This window comes from Homo sapiens, chromosome 9 (genome assembly GCF_000001405.40).
Source record: "Homo sapiens chromosome 9, GRCh38.p14 Primary Assembly".
NCBI classification, from domain to species: domain Eukaryota; kingdom Metazoa; phylum Chordata; class Mammalia; order Primates; family Hominidae; genus Homo; species Homo sapiens.
Window position 1 is genome coordinate 41,907,908 of NC_000009.12, and position 24,278 is coordinate 41,932,185.

Here is a 24,278-nt window from a genome sequence, read left to right on the forward strand (position 1 = left end):
ACCGTGTCCAGCCTAATCAGAGATTTTGTAGATTTTTTTCTAGACATGAAATTTTTGTGCTGTGTACCTAACAAACTTAAAGCTTGGTCTTCTTGTTCAACTGTGAAAACCTTGCAACGCCCCAATTACCACTGTTTGAGAGGCTGTCATTACACTTTTCTTCTATAAAAGTGATATAACTAGTTTTTCAGCCACTGACGAGATAAAGAACAGCTGTACTTATCTGTTGCTTATAGGAATTGGCTTTTATATAGTTGCACTATAACATCCACATAAATGCTCCTCTATTTTGCTTAGAATGAGGAGGGAATGTATGTCATGTATCTAGATATCTTATTTCAAAATGAACTGCAAAACCAATTTGAGTCATCATGTACTATTAAAGTCATCCTATCAATAATAAGAAATATAACTGCATATCAACTCCGTTAAATTATCAAACATGTAATGGGAGAAAAGCATCTTAATTTAATCTTGAAATGCTAGCTTTTATAATAACCATTAAGGGAGGCACTGAAAAACCAAACCCATTGGAGGGCATACAGTTTTCTCTCATCGTTTGTAGTTTGACTGCTGAAAAGACCCATGTCATTACAGTCCTATTTTTCTAACTCAGGGTTCTCTTTTTCTTTACACAAAAGATATTCACCATTGTTGGCGAGGATAACTGAAAGGTATTCCTCATAGAAAGAGCTCACATACAGCAATAAGCTCGGAGTTCGTGTGGTTCGGAAGCTCAGTGTGATCATTTCTCTGGTCAATGTTACATCTCTGTGTAATGAAGAAACGAGAGAGCTGGAGTTTTCACTTAAAGTGTAATGTTCTTGAAAATGGTATGTCATTGAGGAGCCAGTTGCGAAATATGCGGAAATCTCTGAAATGATAAATACATTTTTGTTATGTTAACAAAATGTAAGTCCAACGGTCTTGTTTTAAGTACATTTAGAGAATGAGACCAAACCTTAAATATCCTGGGAGATAAAGTAATAGTGAAATCCTTTCCTGTTTTATTTTTTATTTTTCACTTTTTAAAGTTTTTTAAAAACTACAACTTGAAGAAAAAGTAGCAAACTCCAATATACTCATAACCCAGAATTGACTAACACTTAATAGAGATTTTAATTCTCCAAATCATCCTCATCTTATATTTACATATAACTAATTCTTCAGTATAAATGTATAATTTATAGGTGACTTATCTCATCTTTGGTTTTCAATTTTTTCCCAAATCATTAATTTTTAAACATCTTTATTCAGATATAATCCATATGCCATGTAATAGACCCAATTACAGTGTAAAATTCTATGTCTTTTAGTATATTTGCAGGCATGTGCAAACATTGCCATGATCAATTTTAGAGTATTTTCACTCCCCTCCCCCGAGCACCTTCTTATTCCCTCCTACAAAAACCTCCATAACCTCTAGCAGTCATTCTCTGTTTCTCCCCAACACCCCAGCCTAGGCAACTACTAATTTACTTTCTGTCTCTGCAGAGGTTCCTATTCGAGAGATTTCATATCAGTGGAATCATATAACGTGTGGTCTTTTCAATCTGGCCTCTTTCACTTAACATGGTATTTTCAAGGTTCATCCATCTTGTAGCGTGTGTCAGTATTTTATGCATTTTATTGAATAATATTTCATTGGATGTAAATAGTAATGGATGTGCCACATTTTGCGGATCTATTTAACAGTTGATAGACATTTGGGTTGTTTCCACTTTTTGACTATTATAAATAATGCTTCCATGAAAATTCACGTGTAAGTTTTTCTATGGATACATTTTTATTTTTCTTAGGAATATATACCTAGGAGTAAAATTGTTCAATCTTATGATAACACCAACTTTAAAATTTGGAGGAGCTGCCATATTTTTTCCAAAATAGCTATACCATTTTACATTTCAAACAGCAATCATGAGGGTTTTAATATCTCCACATCCTCACCAACATTTATTATTATCATTCTTTTAAATTACAGCTATACTTGTCTGTGTGAAGAGGTATTTCATTGTGACTTTGATTGCCTACTGGCTAATGTTGCCAACTATTTTTTCATGATTTTATTGGACATTCACACATATTTGCTGAAGAAATATTTACTTATAAGCTTTACCTATTATTTAATTAGGTTAAATTTCTTTTTCTTATTCAGTTGTTGGTTTTTTGTTTTTATTTTTGTTTTTTTGAGACAGAGTCTCACTCTGTTGCCCAGGCTGGAGTGCAGTGGCGTGATCTCTGCTCACTGCAAGCTCTGCCTCCTGGGTTCACGCCATTCTCCTGCCTCAGCCTCTCGAGTAGCTGGGACTACAGGCGCCCGCCACCACGCCCGGCTAATTTTTTGTATTTTTAGTAGAGATGGGGTTTCACTGTGTTAGCCAGGATGGTCTCGAACTCCTGACCTCGTGATCTGCCCACCTCGGCCTCCCAAAATGCTGGGATTACAGGTGTGAGCCACCACACACGGCATCTTATTCAGTTGTAAAAGCTCTTTAAATAATTTGAATACTAGACCCTTATAAGAGACATGATTTGCAATAATTTCTTCCATTCTGTGGGTTATCTTCTCTTTTGTTCTCCCATGTTTTAACAGTTTTATAGTTTTAGTTCTTACATTGAGGTCTATTTGGTACATTTTTATGTATGTGTGAGATAGAGGTCTAATTTCATTCATTTGCATGTGCATGTATACTCAGTAGTCTCAGAGACTACTTCTTCCCATTGGGTTGTCCTGGCACTCTTGTAAAATCCATTGACCATAAATGGCGAGGTATCTATCTGGACTTTCAATTTTATCCCAATGAGCTATCTGTTTAGTCTTAGGCCAGTTATATACTGCTTTACATTAAGTTTAGAAATTGGGCAGTGTGAATCTATCAAATTTCTTCTTCTTAAAGATTGTTTTGGCTATTCTGCATCATTTAAATTTTCATATGAAATCAGCTTGTCAATTTCAGGAAAGAAGCCAGCTGGGATATTGATTGAAACTGTACTGAATCTGTATATTACTTTAGAGAACACTGGTATTTTATTTATATTAATTATTCAATCCATGACATGAAATATCTCTCCATTTATTTACCTTTAAATTCTTTCAATGCTTTATAGTTTTCAGTGTGTTTTCCATTTCTTTTGTTAAATGTATTGCTATGTATGTTATTCTTTTTGATGCTACTGTAAATAAAATTGTTTTATTGGTTTTATTTTCAGATGGTTCACAGCTAATTTGTAGAAATACAATTGATTTTGTATATTGTTTTTGCATTCTGCAATTTTGTTGAACTTGGTTTTAGTTTTAATTGTTCTAAGTAGATTCTTTGGGATTTTTTTATATAAAAAATCATGTCATCCTCAAATAGAGATAGTTTTATTTCCTTTCTAATTTGGATGTTTTTCTTCTTTTTTTTTTTTTTTCATTTTCTTGCCTAATCAGTCTGGCCTGAACCTCTAGTACAATGCTGAATAGAACTAGTGAGAGTATACATTCTTGTCTCATTCTTGATCTTAGGAAAAAAAATTCAGTCTTTAAAATTAAATATAATTTTAGCTATGAGTTTTTCAAAAATACCATTTGTTAGACTGAGGAAGTTATCGTCTATAATTAGTTTACTGAATTTAAACAAAAATTCATGAAAGGATGTTGGATTTTATCAAATGACTTTTCTGCATCAGTAGAGCCTATCATGTGTTTCTGTCCTTTATTCTAAGATATAGTATATTATATTAATTGATTTTCAGCTGTTAAAACAACTTTCCATTTCTGGGATCATTTCCACTTTGTCTTGATGTATAGTCATTTTTATATGTGACTGGATTTGCTTTGGTAATACTCTGTTCAGGGTTTTCACATCTATCTACTTAAATGATATTGGTCTGTAGATTTAAAATATATATACTGGTATATCTATGTCTGGCTTTGGTATTAGGGAAATACTGACCTTACAGAATAAGTTGAAAAATGCTCCTTTCTCTTTTATTTTTTGGAAGAGTTTTGAAGAATTAATACTTCTTATTTAAATAGTTGATATATTTTTAAATAGTTGATATATTCTGATAGTTGATAGCATCAATTGTTTGAAACCATCTGGACCTGGGCTTTACTTTCTGTGGTATTTTAATATTATTAAGGCATTCCTTTTATTGTTATAGGCCAATTTATATTTTCTCCTCCTTCTTGAAACAGAAGTAGTAGTTTGTGTTAATTTTGTAGTTAGTGTCATCCTAGGAATTCGTCCATTTTATCTAAGTTACGTAATTTTTTTCAACATACAGTTGTTTATATTCTCTTGCAATCCATGTTATTTCTGTAAGGTTGGTAGTAATATCACTCTTTCATATGTCATTCTAGTAATTTGAATCATCTCTTTTATTCTTGGTCAGTTGTACTAAAGGTTTGCCAATTTTGTTAACAATTTTAAAGGACTGACTTTTGGTTTGGTTAATTTTTTCTGTCACTTTTATATTATCCATTTGAGAAATTTCTCCTGTTTTATTTATTATTTCCTGTTTCTCCTTACATTAGATTTAGTTTGCTCTTCTTTTTTCAGTGTCTTAAGGTGGCAGGTCAGGTTTTTTATTTGGGAACCATTTTTCTTTTTAAATATTGATGTTTACAGCTTTAAAATTCCCTCTAAACCCTGCTTTAGCTGTGTTACTATATGTTTTAGTAATGTTGTATTTTTGCTTTCATTTATCTCAAAACCTTTTCTAATTTCCCTTTTGATTTCGGAGTGTATAGTTTAATTTCCACATATTTGTGATATTCCACAATTTCTTTATGTTATTAATTTCATCTCATTGTGTTTTAAAAAGTCCCTTCATATGATTTCAATCCTTTTAAATGTGTTGAGGCTTGATTTACAGGTAGCATGTTGTCTAACCTAGAATATGTTCCATGAACACTTGAGAAGAATATACATTCTGCTATTGTTAAGTGGTGTGTTCTACAGATGTGTGTTAGAATGATTGCGTTTTTATTTTTTTCAACTCTATTTTCTTGGTAATCTTCTGAGTAATTATTCTATCCTTTATTGAAAGTGAAGTATTGAATCCTCCAGGTTTTATTCCTGGTTTTTCTATTTCTCTTTTCAGTTCTGTCAGGTATTCTTTATGCAATTTGGGGCTATATTATTAACTGCATATAAGTTTGTAATTGTTATATCTTTTTGAGGGAATTAACTTTTTATCATTATATAAGTTTCCCTATTTCTAGTAGCACCTTTTGTTTTAGAGTTTATTTTTTCTGGTATTAGTATAGTCCCTTTGGCTCTCTAGGGTTACTCTTTGCATGGTACATGTTTTCCCTTCTTTTATTTTCAACTAAATTACCCCTTTCAATCTAAATTGTATGTCCTTAGACAGCATATAGTTAAGATTTCTTTTGTTATCCATTCTGACAATATTTGTCTTTTGATTGGATTGCTCAATCGATGAACATTTAATATTATTATTGATACAGTTAGATTTACATCTGCCATTTTCTTTTTCTTTTTCTATGTGTTTCATTTGTTTTCTTTTCACTTTCCTTCTGACTTATTATTTTGTGTTGGTGGATATTTTGGAGTGTAACATTTTAATTTCTTTCTTGATTTCACTATACTTTGGGGTAAAATATATATAATATATAATTTGCCACTTAACCATTTAAAATATGAAATTCAGTAGCATTAATTAAATTCACAATGTTGTGCAATTATCACCTCTTTTGATATCCAAAATTTTTCATCTTCCCAAAATTAAACTCTATTCATTAAGCAATAACTCTCCATTGCCCCCTCATCTCAGCTGCTGGTATCCTTGAATCTACTTTGTCTCTACAAATTTGTCTATTGATATCTAGTAAACATGAAGTTATATAATATCTGCCCTCTTGGGTCTGGCTTATTTCACTTAGCATAATGTCTTCTATGTTAATTAATGTTGTATCATGTATCAGAACCTCATTCCTTTTAATGGCTGAACAATATACCATTATATGTATACACTACATTTTTTAATCAATTCATGTGTTGACGGACACTTGTATTATTTCCACTATTGTGATTAGTGCTACTATGAACATTTGTATACAAGTATCTGCTTGAGTTCTTGTTTTCAATTGTTTTGGTTATATATGTAGAAGTGGAATTGCTGGGTTCGAAGGTAATTCTATGTTTAACTATTTTGAGTTAACTCTAAATCAATTTCTACAGTGGCTGTGGCATTTACTTTCCCACCAGTAACAAAAGAGAGTTCCAATTTCTCTAGGTTCTTGCCAAAACTTGTTATTTTCTGTTTTTATTTATTTATTTATTTATTTTTATAGTCAATCTAGTAGGTTTGAAGAGGCAGCTCATTATACTTTTCGTTTGCATTTCTTTAATAACTAATGATGTCGAGTATCATCTTTCCATGTGATTATTGACTCTTTGTATATCTTTTTGGAGAAATGTCTCATCAAGTCCTTTGTCCAATTAGACTTTTTGTTGTTAAGTTGTGGAAATTATTAACATATTCTAGATAGTGAACCTCCATCAGATACATAATTTGCAAATATTTTATCACATTCTGTGGATTGTCTTTTTACTCTCTTGATAGTGTTCTTTGATACACAGAAGTTGTTAATTTTTATAAAGTCCAAATAATCTATTTTTGTTGTTGTTGTTGCCCGTGCTTTTGGGGTGATTTTTAAAAAACCACTGCCAAATCCAAGATCATGAAGATCTGCCTATATATCTTCTAAAAATTTTATAGTTTTAGCTTTTAGATTTAAAACTTTGATTCATTTTGAGTTAATTTTGGTAAGGGTCTAACTTCAATCTTTGCATGTGAACATCCACTTTTCCTACCTTTATGTTGAATAGACTGTTACTTCCCTACTGAATGATCTTGACAAAGACTATGTTAAACATCAATTGACTGTATGTATGTAGGTTTATTTCTGGCCTCTCAGCTCTATTCCATTGATTTATAGGTTTATCCTCATTCAGTACCACATTGTTTTGAATAATGTAGTTTATAGTAAGTTTTGAAGTCAAGAAGGGTGAATCCTCCAACTTTGTTCTTTTGTAAAATTGTTTTGCTTATTCTGGGCTTTTTCAAATTTTATTTAAATATTGATAGGGGCTTTTTCATTTGTATAAAAAGTGCTTTGGGGATTCTGATAAGAATTAGATTGAATCTGCTGGGGTTGTATTGTCATTTTAATAATCTCAAGTTTTCCAATTCATGAATATGGAATGTCTTTCCATCTATTTAGTTCTTTCTTTAATCTCTTTCAACAACGTTTTATAGTTTTCAATGTCTAAGTCTTTCACTTTCTCAGTTAAGTTTATTTCTAAGTTTTTTATTCTTTTTGATGATATTGCAAATGGAATTGTTTCCTTAATCTCACTTTCAGATTTTTCATTGCTAGTGTAGAGAAATACAACCAAATTTTTGGTGTTAATTTTGTATCCTGCAACTTTGCTGAATTTATTTATTTTCTCTTAACAGCTTTTATTTTCTGAAGAGTTTTCTACATATAAGATAAGGTAATCTGAGAGAGAGATAGCCTTTCTATTGAAATTTGGATGCCTTTTATTTCTTCTTCTTGCTTAATGACTTTAGCTGGAACTTCCAGTACTATGATAAATAGAGGTGGTAAAACTGGGCATACTTGTTGTGTTTCTTATTTTACGGAAGAAGCTTTCACCATTGAGTATGATGTTAGTTGCAGGTTTTTCATATATGGCGTTTATCATATTGAGAAAGTTCCCTTCTATTCCTAGTTTATTGAGTGTTTTTGTTTTTCAATCATGAAAGGTTACTGGAGTTTGTTAAATGTTTTTTTTTTTCAGCAACAATTAAGATAATCATGTTTTTTTTTCCCCTCTCATTCTATTAATCTTGTGTAATATGTTGACTGATTTTCATTTGTTGAACCACTCCTGAAATCCTGGGATAAATCCTACTAGGTTTTGGTATATAGGCCTTTTAATATACTTCATGACAATGTTTTATTTTCTTTAGTGATTGCTCTAAGCTTGCATTATATATATCTTATCAATAATCTGCTTCAGGTTTACACTAACTTAATACAAGTGAGATTTAGAAAAGTTATTTCTACATAGCTCTATTTCTTCTCTTTTGGAACTATTTTTATGCATACCAAACCCATTATTATTTTATATAATTTGTTCTCTTTTTAAAAAATCTGAGAAAAGAAACAAGATCAAATAAATATTTATAGACTTTGTCTATAAACTCTCTTATTTACCATTTCTAGTTCTCTTTCTTTGTTCCTCTGACTCATGTTACCATTTGGTGTTATTCCTTATTTCAGTACAGCCTTGCTGCCATCTGTCTCCTCTGTGCTGTTTTTTTGTAATATATTTCTATAGGCCCAACAATGAAAATATATACATTATATATTTGTATATTCTCTATTATAGTTTTATACATTGCTTTTTAAAATAGTTAAGCACTGAAAAGGGTAAGAAATATGACATTATACTTTCTTTTATAATTACCTGCACACTTACATTTATTAGTGCTATTTGTTTTTTGTGTGTAGATTCAGATTATTGTCTGGGTTATATCCCTTCAACCTGAAGGAACGTTCTTTGTTATTTCCTCTAATGCAGGCTAATAGCAGTGAATTCTCTGCTTTTTGTAAGTAGGGATATATTTACTATCTTTTATAATTTTTAGTTTTTATGAATACCTAATAGTTGTATGTATTTATGGGGTAGAGGTAATATTTTGATACAACCAAACAATGTGTAATGATCAAATCAGGGTAACTGAGATATCCATCACCTTAAACATTTATCATTTCTTTTTGTTAGGAACATTCCAGTTCCACTCTTCTAGTTATTTTGAAATATACAATAAATTATTGTTAACTATAGTCATCCTGTGCTACTGAACATGAAAGATGGTTGTGCTGGGTGTAAGTTTCTTCATGACAATGGTTTTCTTTCATCTCTTTGAATATGTTATCTCACTGTCCTTTGGCCTCCATTCTTTCAGATTAGAAGTTAGCTGTTGATCCTGGCGTTTCCTTGTATATATGATTTTTCTCTTACTGCTTTTAAAATTTCCTTCTTGACTTTGGCTTTCAAAGTTTTTAATAAGATGTGTCTGGATATAAACTTCTTTGTGTCATCTGTATTTCACTGAGCTTCTGTATCTTAGATTAATGATTTTTATTAATTTGGGGATGTTTTCAACCATTATTTTTCAAATATTTTTTTCTGATCCTTTCTCTCTCTCCTGGTATTTTCAATTACGTATATGTTGGTGTGCTTAGTTATGTCTGATATTTCTCTGATGATCTGTTTATTTTTTTCATTATTATTTCTCTGTATTCTTCAGGATACATAATCTCTACTGATCTTGCTTCAAGTTTGCTGATTCTTTTTTCTTTTCTCTGTTAAACTTCCCTGGCTTAACTCATTACTCTCTTAGAGTTATCAACATTCTCTTAATTGCTTACTGCCAATATCTTCATACCACTAGCTTAAACTGATCCATGCTCTGTTCCAAATAGAAATCAGTTCACTTGGGGAGGGCTACCAAGCTGTGTATTTTCATGGCCTCCCTCTACCTCTTGGTTAAATGTGCCTCACTGCTCTGAAGCTGTGGAGAGTGAGAGTGGCCTGCTCCTTTGTAGTAAAACCTCTGCTTACAAGTAGGGCACAGGGTGGGAAAGGTAACTTCTTGCCTTGCCTCTCCTGGTGGAGAAACTGTTCCTTACAAGTAAGCTGGAGTGAGGGCAATTGGGACACAGGATTTTTCCAGCTGCCACACCTGAAGACCTTATGTCCTGGAATGAGGAGTTGGTGTAGGAAGGAAACCCCAGACTTCTCAGCTGTTTCTGCGTGAACAGAGCTTCTGTCCTACAAAACTGGGGATGACAAGAAATGCTGGCACCCAATCTTGGGGTAATGCAGTATCTCTGTAGTAGGACCTGGGTAGAGAGGAAACCTTTGGCTTCTTGGCTATATCCATATAGAGTGGAGCTTCCGTCATACTGAGCTAGGGATGGGGAGGTGCAGGGAGAGGGTCTTGGCTTAAATGCCTCAAACTCTCACTGTTATTACTGATTAATAAATGTTTCTTCATTTGATGTATTTCCTTAGGACATTTTCTAAAGACTTTCAATAGTTGTTTTTTAAAATAATAATTTTTACTAGTTATGCCTGTTTCGTATGAGAGAGGGTTTACAGAGCTCCTTATGTGGCCAGCCTGGAAATGCCAGAGTACCAGGTTTTTTATTTGAATGTTACCTCCTCTTTAAAAATCGATTTACTTTGTAGGAAGCATGAAACAGAGCTCCTGAAGTAACTAGAGAAAAGGTGATTTGAAGACCAACCCTCCTTCAAGGTCAGAATTTAGAAATGTTCTTTTATGCCAAAGATGTTTCTCAAATTTACTGTCTGGATAGAAAGGCTAATCCAAAGTGGTATCTACAGTATTCTGAGAGAGAAAAGTTGAAGGGCTTTCAGCTTCTCTTAAAACACTTTATGAAAGGTTGATATTTTAATTTTATATCAAGTTAATTCCAAAAATGTGTTTAGTACACACATACACATACACACACCCCCCAAATATATCTGTAAATAAAAAGAAAATGTTGGGTGATGATCACTGTCTTGGAATACTACTCCACTCTTTCCATTTCCATAAAATATAAAGAATTTACTGAAAATCCAGATCATTCTTATTAGATTAGGTAATCTAACTATAACATATGCCCCAGCCACTGGAGGACCATTTTCCATTTACTTACCATATAACGTCTATCCTTAAGAAAATTTTGGGTTATAAAATAACATTCAAATTGCACTTAGCAAATGTGGATTGGGAATGATTTAGAAATCAGCACTTGTGCTCATGAAGGAGTGGTTACTCCTGATGTTGGCTTGAGATATAAAAAGAGCTCTGTATTTGCACCAGAGCTATGAGATTTGTGAGCACAGAGATCTTCAGGACTAATAAAAGACATATGCAAGAACTTCTGAAAATTTAAATGACTTCTAGATAATGAATCCTCAAAATTCTTTTGAAAGTCACACAATTTATAGTGATTAAAGCCTGTTTTGCTGCTAAAAATAGTAAGTGTAACAGCCCAGAGACACTTAAACACACAATTACATTTTAGCTCTGATGATTCAATATTGTAAGAGGTTTCATAAAAGTATTATAAATATATTAAATAAGTCAGTACAGAGTACTTAATACTAAAATCAGTCCCTTTTTCCTTTTCTTTTTTTTTTTCCCCAAGACGGAGTCTCACTCTGTCGCCCAGGAGTGAGTGCAGTGGTGCGATCTCGACTCACTGCAACCTCTGCCTCCCGGGTTCAAGCAATTCTCCTGCCTCAGCCTCCCGAGTAGCTGGGATGCCCTGCTAATTTTTGTATTTTTAGTAAAGATGAGGTTTCACCATGTTGGCCAGGCTGGTCTTGAATTCCTGACCTCGTGATCCGCCTGCCTTGGCCTCCCAAAGTGCTGGGATTACAGGCATAAGCCACCACGCCCAGCCCTTTTCTTTTGAAAACATGATTGTACCTGAGCAGAAGCTGTGTGATACCCCACTGCACTCCTCTAAGAAGAGTCAAACATCATAGAGCAAAGTGTTTGAGTGATCCTGTTAATGACTGTCAATATTTAAATATTCTTTTCCCCTTCTAGTTAGTATGCTTGTTTTATAAGAAAAGACATTTCTATAAAGGCCTTTTGAATCACTTAAAGTCACTGTCACAAGGGACAATGGGTAAGACGATTGCTCAAGCCTAGGAGTTCAAGTCCGGCCTGGGCAACAGAGAGGCTTGAATAGCAATACGTTGTCTCTAAAAATTAAAAACAAAAATAAGAATGATGCTTTACTGATGTTAAAATTAGAACAGTACAAGGACAGAGTTTTGAAAACCAAATTATTTCGAGAGGATTAGCATTGAACAGATGCTGGGGTAACCCAGAGATCTTCTAAATAAGAAACCCAGAGAGGACTGATAGCCTTAAGTTTTCAAAAACAGTCATATCCCTTCTAAATTCAATAGAGGAATTTGGTACAGAAATTATTCCATTTCAAATAATTCAATCTTATCCTCTCTTTATAATATCAAATGCCAGAAGCATTCTTCATACTATTTAAGTTTCATGTACTTTCCCTATAACCTGCTCCTTGGTCACACTTACCATTGGAGCAGAACGGTCCATCATAGGCTGAGAAGGCACAGTCACAGGTGACCCCCCTGCGTTTCTCTCTGCATCTCCCTCCATTGCGACACAAGTGTCCATAGGTGCTGCAGTGTCCTGCACACCCTGGCTCCACTCCTGGCGTCACTGTGGCTCTTTCTTCCAGATCCAGGGCCACCCCGTTCAACTGCAGAGACCGAATGCATCCTAGAAAGCCTCTCTGTCTGGTGGCCGTTCCACCTACAACGGAAACACTGCAAATAGAAATGTGTTCCTTGGTATTTTATTCAGGATTTTATGTCCATGTCAAACTCAGGCCTTATGGAGAGTGGCAATAATCACAATGTGTCAAAAAATTTTGTGAACATATACAATTTTGAAAATATAACTGTTATGAGATATGCAGCTTTAAATGACATTGAATAAAACATTTATTTACATAACTTTCAAACATGGTGAGTCTGGCAAATAGTCCTTCTAAAAACATTTCCTTAACTTCAGGTAAGAAAGAATTTCACTTTAGTTCCTTTACAAAGAACAAAATACATAATATAAACCACATCAAACACTATTTTACTTTGTTTAGGAATAAGAATGTGCATTCATCAAACATTATTTTAATTTCTTTATGAATAAGAATGTGCATTATAATGGTTAGGTATGAACTTCCAAATTTTTCACAATAATAAAAATATATATGGATAAATTTCTTACTTGGATGGACTCTAAAAATAAAGTGTGAAAGGAAATGGATAAGCAAAGGAGGGGAAGTTGGAAGGGGTGACACCATACCCCAGGATCTCCTCCTCTCAGAGGGTACAGTGCTAAACAGTAATTGAATACTGCATGCATGCACATTTTGTCATGTCAAACTTGAATGCTGAAGAAACCATTTAGAGAGGTTTACAACACCTGTGTAGTGACAAACACCATTATGAAGGCGACAATTCTCAATGTTAGGAGCATGGAAATTACCTAGAGTTTCTGGAAAATGCAGTTTTTAGCCTCCTCCCAGAGATTCCAATTCGGTGGGCCTAAGGTGGGGGCCCCAAATCTGAACTATCAATCAGCTTTGTGGGTGATTCTGAAGCCAGTGCTTCATCCACCGCAATGAATGCTGATTCTAGGTGAATTTTATGCTAATTGTGTTTCTAGGCATTCCCTTAAATAATCTCCAAGATTACAAGTGAGAAAATCAAGTTCTTGGTTTGACCCCTCCGTGTAGTCCTCCTTTCCAGTAGTTTGATGGTTTCATGTCCTTTGAAAAAGCCTCACTGCACCTTAATAGAAGAGCTAACCACGCCTGAAGCTAGGTTTTAGGAAGTCATGGTATAACACCCCATCCACATCCACATACATACGTGGGTTCACGTGTAGCATTTAGTACCTGGAAGTTGTATCTACCCTCCCCTGTAAATTAGGTTGGGTGATAATTTGTGATTTAGTCCAGTTTTAATTAGATTGCATCCTTATTCGCTTTAAAACACTTAAGAATGAACAAGTGAGAGCTTTAATCTGTGTAGCTCCTACGTTAGAATAGTTTCAAAAGCAATATAGCAAAATATATTTTTCCCAAGGGGAAAAATAAACAACAGTGATAAAACAGTAAGTAAGCAAACTAAAGGAAAGACTTCCAGAGCTATCACCTTTAAATAAATGGAGTGCAAGAACAGATGAGCCAGACCGGGTTATAAACAAGGAGCCTGTGATGAGAGAGCCCCAGAAGTGAGAACAGCAGCGAGGAAAACCGGGAGTGGGCTCCTGGAAGCCTGGCCGCGGGGGAGGTGCGCAGTGCTGCTTCCAATCAGCGGGTATCCTGCGATCTGGTTTTGAGTGGACCCTGGAGGACTTCTGTCCCAATTACAAGCTCTCTAACTCCACCGAGAAGTGAAACTGAAGGAATGGATAAAAATGTCTAATGATCTCACTAATAGTGTTGATAAAATATAGCTGTCACATATGCCAATCCTCTGCAATGTGAATGGTTCAAGTTTGGGGGTCGGCTATCCTGGGATCTCTCTCATTAGCTGGTTACTCCACTTCTCTGAGGCTTGGCTATCTCATCTGTAAACAGATGACAATACCTAAACATTGATACCTAAACACTGAGATACTGCAGGGCCCGGTGGCTCGCGCCTGTAATCCCAGCACTTTGAGAGGCTGAGGTGGGTGGATCATCAGGTCAAGAGATCACGACCATCCTGGCCAACATGGTAAAACTGTGTCTCTATTAAAAATACAAAAATTAGCCAGGCGTGGTGGCACCTGCGCCTGTAATCCCAGCTACTCAGGAGGCTGAGGCAGGAGAATCGCTTGAACCCGGCAGGTGGAGGTTTCAGTGGGCTGAGATTGCACCACTGCACTCCAGCCTGGGCGACACAGTGAGACTCTGTCTGAAAACAAAAATAAAAACAAAAACAAACAAACAAAAGAAATGTCACATAAGAAGCACACAGCAAGCTCCTGGAACCTACCAGGTTATCAGCAAATAGTACCAATAAGCAGTAGTTGTTGGCAACTGTTGCTCTCAGTACATCACAGTTCTTATTTTCTTTTGGTCCCTCTCTGGACTCACACTAAATTCAGTTATAAACCACCAGCACTCACCAATGAAGAGCTGGCTGTTGAGCTGTAAACGAACGTGCCCATCAGCAGGGGCAGGCTGCATCTTCTGAGGAAGCTGATCAACTTGAAGAGACGCTCCTTTAACATTTCTCTCTGCCCTCACGTGGTGCCACTGATTGTCATTAAAGGGAGTGGGTGACTGCACCGTGACCTCACAAGGTCCATTCCCCACATCGAAGGAAAATGTCACTTCTGTGGGAGCTAGAAATATTAGATATGAATATTGCTCAAGCAAATTCACAGAAAATTGAGTCTTGTGCAGACACAGGAAAACATGAAGGCACGCTCAGGATGGAAGGAGATAATGACGGCGATGCAGAAAAACAAGACTGTGAGTTGGGGTGGGGGCAGAATAAATCTGTATCCTGGAGGAAAACAGAATGGATTTTAACATATTTATCCTCAGAGTTCACAATTCAACCTTGTTAAGTCCTAAATAGTAGAGATATGTACCCATAGCTGGACTACCCATAGCTATGTACCCATAGCTAGAATACCAAATAGTATTTGTTTTTGAGGTTTCAGTAATTTTATTTACAAACGGCTCAAAGTCTCATCTAATTCTATAAACACTGAATGTAAATTTTGACAGTCATAAATTAAGCTTTGGGTACATAAAAAACAATATGTCTGGTCAAATATTTTTGGAATTCAGTAAACAATGTGATGAGTTTGGTTTAAAGCTCTGGCTCTGCTGTTCAGTACTCTAGGGAAGGCATGACATTTTAATGGATTATTACGTGCTTCATGCTTCATTGTTTTATTTTCTCTTAAAAATGATTACTGGCTGGGTGTGGCAGTTCACACCTGTAATCCCAGCACTTTGGGAACCCGAGGCAGGCGGATCACTTGAGGCCAGGAGTTGAAGACCAGCCTGGTCAACATGGCAAAACCCCACCTCTACCAAAAATACAAAAATTAGCTGGGCATGGTGGTGCGTGCCTATAGTCCCAGCTACTCAGGAGACTGAGGCAGGAGAATTGCTTGAACCCAGGAGGCTGAGGTTGCAGTGAGCCAAGATAATGCCACTGCACTCCAGCATGAGTGACACAGCAAAATCCTCTCTCCCTCTCTCAAAAACAAAAAATTACCTAAAATCATAGAAGTTTAGTGTTTTATAATGAAATAGAATCACAAAGTAAGAATGAAATACTACCATTTTGTTGAGTTAAAGCTTTTATTGCTAAATAATGGGTACCCTGTGACTTGTCCAGAGTGGCCAGCCTACCCCGCAGCTCAATCCTGATGAAGTCTGTGATCCCCAGGTTCTCCATAAACACCCCAGAGGAAACTGTGGTCTTAAAAAAGAAGCACACGTCAGCAGTGAGTTCTCCGTGGAAAGCAGGGAAATGAAGGTATGAAGTCTCAGTGTTGAAGGAAGCTGAATTCCAAAATGACTCTGTTTACAATAGAGAAAACGACAAAAGGAAAAAAAGTCATGAAACAAAAATAACAGCTACATTTGATACTTACAGGATTATGACTGCTAAATACATTAATAGAATGTATATGAGCTTTCACTGGGGGTTCTGAGCATCCATGTCATATACTGATGACATCAAGAGCTAAATGGTGATTACGCTGAGGATTGGAATTCTGTGTTCAGAGAAGGCCAAACAAAAGCGAAGCAAAAGCAATGAGACCAGTCAGGGGATCGCGCAGCAACACAGTAGGGACAGGGTCAAGTTCAGAATCACCTCAAAGGTACGACCAACAGAACTTACTGAAGAACTCGGTAAGATGTGAGAAGAAGGGTGGAGTCTGAGGTGACTTTGGGGTTTTTGGTCTAACTGGGAAGGGAAATAATTCTAAAGAAGCAGGTTCGAGCAGCAGCTCAGTTTGGGACATGTTTCATTTGAGATATCTATTAGGCATCCAAGTGGAGATTTGAAGGAGGTAGTTGGAAAAATGACTCCAGAAGCCAGAACACAGACTCTTGCTTTCCTTCCTGCACACACACACACACACACACACACACACACACACACACACACACAGTCTTAATTCCTTTCATGGCAAGAACAATCAAGAACAAGAAGAAGCTTATTTGTTCCCTTCTGTCCAAAACCCATCACAGGACTGCACATCACATGTATTACTCAGGCCTCTTTAGTGTCCTTTATTCTGGTACAGTGTGTGAGTCTTTTCTTATCTTTTGTGTACTTTTGACTTTTTGGTATTTTTCAGTTGACTTTCAGAATGTTCCTCAACTTGGATTTGTCTGACATACTCATGATTGGATTCATGTTGTGCATTTTTGTCAAAAATACCACAGAAGGGCTGCTGTGTTCTCCTCAGTGTGTCGCAGCAGCAGGCAGCAATGCTGATAAGCCCATCACTGGTCCTGTTAGTTTCAACTGCCTTGTAAAGTGGCATTTGTCCAGTTTCTCCAACATGAAGTTATTATTTTTCTCTTTTTTCATGTATTTTTGACACTTTAAGGTTACAGAAACACAACTTTACCCAGTTTAAAATTTTTTCATCCAATGGTTTTACAATATATTGATGGCTCCTGATTGAATTTTTATTCTGATGGCTGCCAATAGTGATTTTCTAAGCTCTGTCATTCCTTCCACATTAATTGGTTGACATGCCTACGTTAGAAATAGCTTTTCTCGGCTAGGCGCAGTGGCTCACGCCTGTAATCCCAGCAGTTTGGGAGGCCAAGGCGGACGGATCATGAGGTCAGGAGATCCAGACCATCCTGGCTAACACGGTGAAACCCCGTCTCTACTAAAAATACAAAAAATTAGCCAGGCATGGTGGTGGGTGCCTGTAGTCCCAGCTAGTCGGGAGGCTGAGGCAGGAGAATGACGTGAACCCGGGAGGCGGAGCTTGCAGTGAGCCGAGATCCTGCCACTGCACTCCAGCCTGCGCAACAGAGCGAGACTCCATCTCAAAAACAAACAAACAAACAAACCAAGAAATAGCTTTTCTCTTGATCTTTTACTAATTTATTTGTGTATTTATCCATTTGTTTATTCACGTCACTCTTGAATTTGTATTCTATTCAATGGTTTATACTCTATAACTTATTTTGATGCTTAAGTTGTCTCAAATGTGGCAGCTCCTTTAAGCTGACACCCATGCCTTTTTCAGCTTTTTTTTTCCCCTTTGTCATAACAAAATGATCCAGGCTCATCTTAAATTTTCTCTGCCACATTTCTGGAATCAGCCATTTCTTCAAGGAGTCGTGGTTTCTTTTTTAGCAGAGAATGACAGAAAATGGTGTTTAGAAGCCCAGATCTGCAGGCTATTTACTAGGGTGTCATTGCTTCTAGCCCTCTCAGTAGTCAGCTAGGAAATATGTGTATTTGTATCTCTCTCTCTCTCTCTCACACACACATACACACACGCAGTCTCTCTCTTCTATGTGTATTCTACAGTTATCTATTATGTATATTAAAATCCATGAGTTCATGTGGATACCTCCGTTTTTAACCCAGCACCACAGGGTTCATTACAGTCTTCCTCCTTCCCACATGTATAACTCTTTCCTCAGTGAGGTCACTCCTATGCTCCTCACTTTTTTTACATATTTGCTCATTCCCCAGTGTGGAACCTAGCTTCTAACCCAGTGGTCATTCCTTGACCCTATCCCTGCAGATCCCCTAGTCCCAGCTGCCCCAAAAGAAGGGAAAAGAATCAATAAGTGTTATGTTAAAGAAAACAGAGATGAAGATAAGGAAAGGAAAAGAGAAACGAAGAGGAAGCTACAAGTTTTACAGAAGAGAATATTTTATTTTTCTTTCTTTCTTCATTAATCAATTTATTTATTTATTTTAGAGATGAGGTCTCACTTTGTCACCCAGGCTGGAGTGCAGTGGCATGATCATAGTTCACTGCCACCTCACATTCCTGGGCTCAAGAGATCATCTCACCTAAGCCTTCCTAGTTGCTGGGACTACAGGCCACCATGCCCAGCTAATTTTTAGTTTTTTTGTAAGAGACAAGGTCTTACCATCTTGTCCGGGCTTGTGTTGAACTCCTTGGCTCAAGCCATCCTCCCATCTCAGTCTCCCAAAAAGAGAAGGGAATATTTCAAATATCACACTTTCTCTTCTCCATACTTTCAGAAGTCTTGCTGAAAGTAGGATATAAACTGAAGGTGAATGACATATCCTGAAGAGTCTCACAAATACAGCCACATTTGGAGAGAAATGAAGGGCTGAGGTAAATTTCCAGAGAGAAAATAATCTAGAAAATGTTTTTGAGAAGTACAGAGTACCTAGAAACCAGTGTTTGATGTCAGAGTATCAATAGGCAGGGGAAAAAGCTACAAATTTCCAGGGGTTATTACTGAACTGTGGGAGGCATCTGAAGCCTGCAGATATACCCTCCATGCTTCAGTGTGATGCCTGGCACAGGACATTTAATAATTCTTGAAGATAAAACAGCACAGAGAATGGCCAGTAAATCAGATACAATTCAACAGATCCCTCCCTTGAGCTCTTAGATTATGGGAAAAAATATTGATAGGATGACCAACTCTAGTCCTGCTATTGCAGTTCAGAAGGGACAAGAAGTATGTGTCTGATTGTGAAGAGATGAATGTCGAGAAGAATTCAACTCCATTCCATATAAATGAATTAAATGTCTGGACAGACCTGCCAGACAGACCTGTAGTGTAGACTTACACTACAAGTATAAACAATGTTTCAAAAAGCACAGAAACAGTGCAAACATACTGAGAAAGAAAAAAAGAAGACAGGAAAGAAAGAAAGAAAAAGAAAGAAAAGAAAGAGAGAGAAAGAAAGAAGAGAGGGAGGGAGGGAGTGGGGAAGGAAGGAAGGAAGGAGTATAAAAGCCAGACTGAATGGGAGGGAGGAAGGGAAGGAGAGAAAGAGGGAGGGAGGGAGGGAGGAAGGAAGGAAGGAGCCATCTGAATGGGATGGAGGAAGGAAATTAAGAGAGAACACAAGGAAAGAAAAATTTCATAAGAGTTTCACACTATGGGAATAATATAAAAACCAATTCAGTAAAATAAGAGCTAAAATATGAGATAAACAGAAAAGATGATTTTTAAGGAAAAAAAATCAAAGACCCAAACAAAATCACAGAGGTAACAGAGAAATCGGAAATATCTGGAAATGGAGAACACAGCTGATAACAAATTACTGACATTGGGAAAAGCTTAGAATAATCATATTGAATGCATAGGAGAAGGACAAAGAGATTAAAGCCATTGGAAGAAACAGAAAAAATGTATGGGGGGCAAAGGAAACAAGTCAACAGTCCTAGATGAAGAGAATCCACCAAATGAAACAAAGTATTCAAAGCATAATAAAAACCATTTTTTCTTAAAAGAGAACAGAATATTTCGGTCAAAATAAGCATATTTCATTTTAGAAAAAAATAACAGAATAATTAACGCTAAGGCATATTCTGGATAAGTTTTTGAAATTGAAGGATAACATATCTGTCAAGAGCTGTGAAGAATCTGAGATTTCACCCTACTTGCAAGCTAACAATTTAGCTTGCCACAGATTAATGGATGCTGATAGAAAACACAAAATTTCTGGGTCAGAGTTAAAGAACTTTATTGCTCACAGCACAGCATGCAGCATGAGTGTCAGAATATTTGCATTGGTTCCCCTTATCTCCAAATTTCACAGGGCAACACAATCCATTGGCCCAGGTGGATGCTACACACACAGTGGGTAGGTTTGCATCTCAGATGAGGAGCCCCCAGACAAGGGTCCGGGACTCCTTCATCAAGCAGGAGACAAGCCGGTCCCCGCCCTCTCTGGGGAGTGAGTACACATCGATAGTGATGTTGTGTTCTCTTTGAACTACTTAGCTGCCTACACGATTGGCTACAGAAACTGCTTGGTATTAGGGGATGGAGACACCACACCATCTGGCACACTCGGCAAGAATGTACAGAGAGGCTCAGGCTCCTTGTTGAACCACCCCTCTCAGAAGTAGCCCCCACACATTGAGGTAGAACAGGAAATAAAAATACATTTAGTCTCAGACTTCTCCACGGCAATGTATGATGCTAGTGGGTAAGAAACACTATTACAATTTTTCTCAGGGAAAGAAGATTTTTACTAGCTTAGTTGTGGTTCCCGTGCTACCCAGTAGGTAGATCCTCTAAGAACCCTGGGCTTATAGTGCCACTGAGGTGGGGGAGTGAGGACTTGACCATGAAAGCCACCCATGAACGAAAATGCTGCAGGAAAGAGATTAATACACATTCGGTGCCATGTAATGTAAAACAGTATGTACAGAGGTCAGAAAATAGAGAGTGTCCAATAATTTCCTACCACTATAGTTGTCTGAAGAGTATAAGGGCAATGAATAAATATCCCTTAGCATTCAGAAAATAGTTCATCTCATGATTGTTCTGGAAAAAATACAATCAATTGATAATAAATCCAGCCAAGCAAGTAATAAGTTAAAACAAAGATGATTCATTTTCTATAAACTAATGCTTCAGTAAGGAAACACAGATCTTCAGTACTGACTGTGCCTTTATGGTATGTGTGTTTTCCTGATATTCGCCCCAGTCCTAGTACTGCCACTATTCTCTTTCTGGCAAGAACAAGGGCATTTGTCTACCCCTTTATAACCAAAAAAAGTTATTATGAAAATAAAGCTTTTTCTTGACACTACTTACTATCTCCGCGGCAGAGCAGTGGCCCCAGTGTATAATCTGCTTCGGAATGTGGTTGGCCTGTGTCTGTCATCACAATCTGAGTGACTGGGAGGTGCTCCTTTTGGGAAAGGACTATTGTGTCACTAGTCCTAAAGAACAACAACCGAAACCATTAAAATTATTCTGATTAACATACGGGCAAAATTAACTCTGATCTCTTATCTCAATTTGAAACTAACATCATAGAGCTTAACAGAATACTTAACATTTTCAATATTTTGAGAGCACAGAGACTACCATGAATCTAAATCAGGGATGGGCAAACATTTTGTGTAAAGGACCATACAGTAAGCTGTGCAGGCCATGCAGCTTCTCACAGCAACTACTTAACTCTGCCACCAAGTGTGAAAGCAGCCACAGACACAGGCATGGCTGGGTTGCAATAAAAATTTTTGGATATGAAATCTGAATTTCATACAAGTTTTATATGACATGAAATATTCTTTTTATTTTTCAACCTTTTAAAAATGTAAAGAAAACATTCTTAGCTCACTGCCATGCAAAAATAGACTAGTGGTCTGGATTTCACCCAAAGCAAGAGGTTATTAATTCCTGACCCGTTTGCCAATTCCTGATCTAAATGATTACAGAGAAGGGGAAAAATCAAGAAGGTAACTTCCCTTCTAAAATTGTCTTAGAATAATATCTAAGTGATTATTCTTTACAAATAAAAATAGTAACACTGGATTTAGATATTCATTTTGCAGAATATTAATTTATCATTATTTTTTAAAGTCCTTTTATGATTACTGGGTATTTCTTTCCTTGTTAACTTTGTAAATGCAAAATGAGTCCCACAGATTCAAAACCAAATACATACTACACCCTTATAAGTAATACATAGACTAATGAGTGTGAAAGTGGTCTGTGAAACACTGCTCCCAGTAGTTCAGGCAACAAACACAGGCCGGGCACAGTGGCTCATGCCTGTAATCCCAACACTTTAGAAGACTGGGGTGGGCAGATTGCTTGAGCTCTGGAGTTCGAAACCAGCCTGGGCAACATAGTGAGGCCCCGTCTCTACAAAAAATACAAAAATTAGCTGGGTGTGATGGTGCACACCTGTAGTCCCAGCTACATGGGAGGCTGAGGTGGGAGGATCCCTTGAGCCTGGGAGGTAGAGGCTGTAGTGAGCCATGTGTGCAACACTGCACTCCAGCCTGGGTGGCAAAGTGAGACCCTGTCTCAAAAAATACAAAAAACAAACAAAAAACCCCAAACACTCAGCGCTCACCTTTTGTCGAACAGACATTGTCCTGGGAATTGAGGACACAGAGTAAAAAATATATTTTAGTCTCTGCCTTCTGAAAGCACACAGCCTATTGAATACCATGAGTATTAATTATGTGACTGGGAAAATAAATGCACACGTCTGTGTCCAATACAAAGAGACCTGGAGGATCCCCTAGGGGAACCTGGGGTCCTGGTCTTAGCTATGCCACTAATTTTGTCTCTGGCCAAAATAAAGGCATTTGTCTACTCTGCTGCAAAAGTATTTTATTATATATGTGTATGTAACTGTATATGTAATAAATATTTGGCCAATAATATTGCATATATGCATATATAATAAAATGCTTATATTTATATACTTTTGGTTATATTTTATTACATATATGTCTCAACTGCATGTATATTCTGATTTACAGACAAAACACTCTTAGTCCAGTTACGGTTAGAAACTCCACAGTATCTAGTAAATACTGTATTTTTTAAATTGCCCAGTTCTCAAACCTTCTTTTGTATGCATTTGTGGCAAAAGATCACAATAATTGATATTTCATCATTGCAACACTTTTGTATTTTCAGAATAAGGCTTTCTGAATTAAAAAAAATTAAATTGGCATGTCAGAGTTGTACATATACTGGGGGCACATGTGCTATTTTGATACTAGAATACAATGCATAATGATCAAATCAGGGTAATTGGGATATCCATCACTTTGAGCAGTTATCCTCTGTGGTGGGAACATTACAATTCTCTTCTGGCTATTTTGAAATATCCAATAAATTACTGTTAACTATAATTTCTCTAGTTCTATCAAATACTAGAATTTCTTTTACTTAACTCGACTTTTGTACCCATTAATCAACTTCTTTTATAAAAGACTAGGTATCAAACTTTCAAATTGGAAAATATAAAACTAAAATAAAATGGCTATATTATTTAAGATTATTCCCTGAAAAAATACACTTAATGGTAAAGAAAGCTTATTTCTAAAATTCAGACTAAAACCCTGTTGCTTTACCTAGTTAAGATTCTGTTATTCATTTTAATGCAAAGAACAGAATATTGATTATCTAAAGGCATCACCATTCAGCTTTAGAGTGGACTGATGGTAGACAAGCTAGAAATATGTCTCCTGCTGAATGAGGTAGGTCTAGGAAATTTTTTATTAATGTGGTAGCCATTAAAAATTACCATTTCCAATTCTGTGATCATCATTTTAGCAAGATAGTCTAGTAGAGAAAATGCAATTTAATTATTTATGGAGGATGCTTGTATTTTAAAAGATCTATTTCACGGGAGCTCCAAGTTTCATTCCATTTTCAATACTGACTGTGCAAAATATTGAGAATGTGTAAATGAAATCCACATTTCAGTTTAATTAGGGCAGATACTATAATAAAGTCTTGTTTTTTCATTGTTTTGGAAAGTCTGGTGTTTTCATTCTGAGCATAAAGATAGCCAGTGTTTTTCACCAGTTTCTTATTGTTACAGGCAGATTCCCAACCTTTGGAAATCAAAATAGAATACTCAGGATTTGTAATAGTTATCAGACTTCCTCAAAACTTCCTAATTAATAGGGACATCTCATTTTTCTTTTCT

At 36.3% G+C, this 24,278-nt stretch overlaps 1 protein-coding gene across 1 annotated transcript in view; it reads right to left on the reverse strand.

Annotated features, from left to right (window-relative positions):
- Positions 1 to 24,278, reverse strand: part of CNTNAP3B (contactin associated protein family member 3B) — a 238,891-nt gene that overhangs the window by 17,372 nt on the left and 197,241 nt on the right. Inside the window, exons 15-19 of the mRNA NM_001201380.3 lie at positions 21,410 to 21,537; positions 16,016 to 16,186; positions 14,770 to 14,988; positions 12,163 to 12,402; positions 650 to 874 (exon numbers count right to left, since the gene is read on the reverse strand). Coding sequence (NP_001188309.2) covers positions 650 to 874; positions 12,163 to 12,402; positions 14,770 to 14,988; positions 16,016 to 16,186; positions 21,410 to 21,537 — 983 coding nt within the window. The remainder of the gene's footprint in view (positions 1 to 649; positions 875 to 12,162; positions 12,403 to 14,769; positions 14,989 to 16,015; positions 16,187 to 21,409; positions 21,538 to 24,278) is intronic.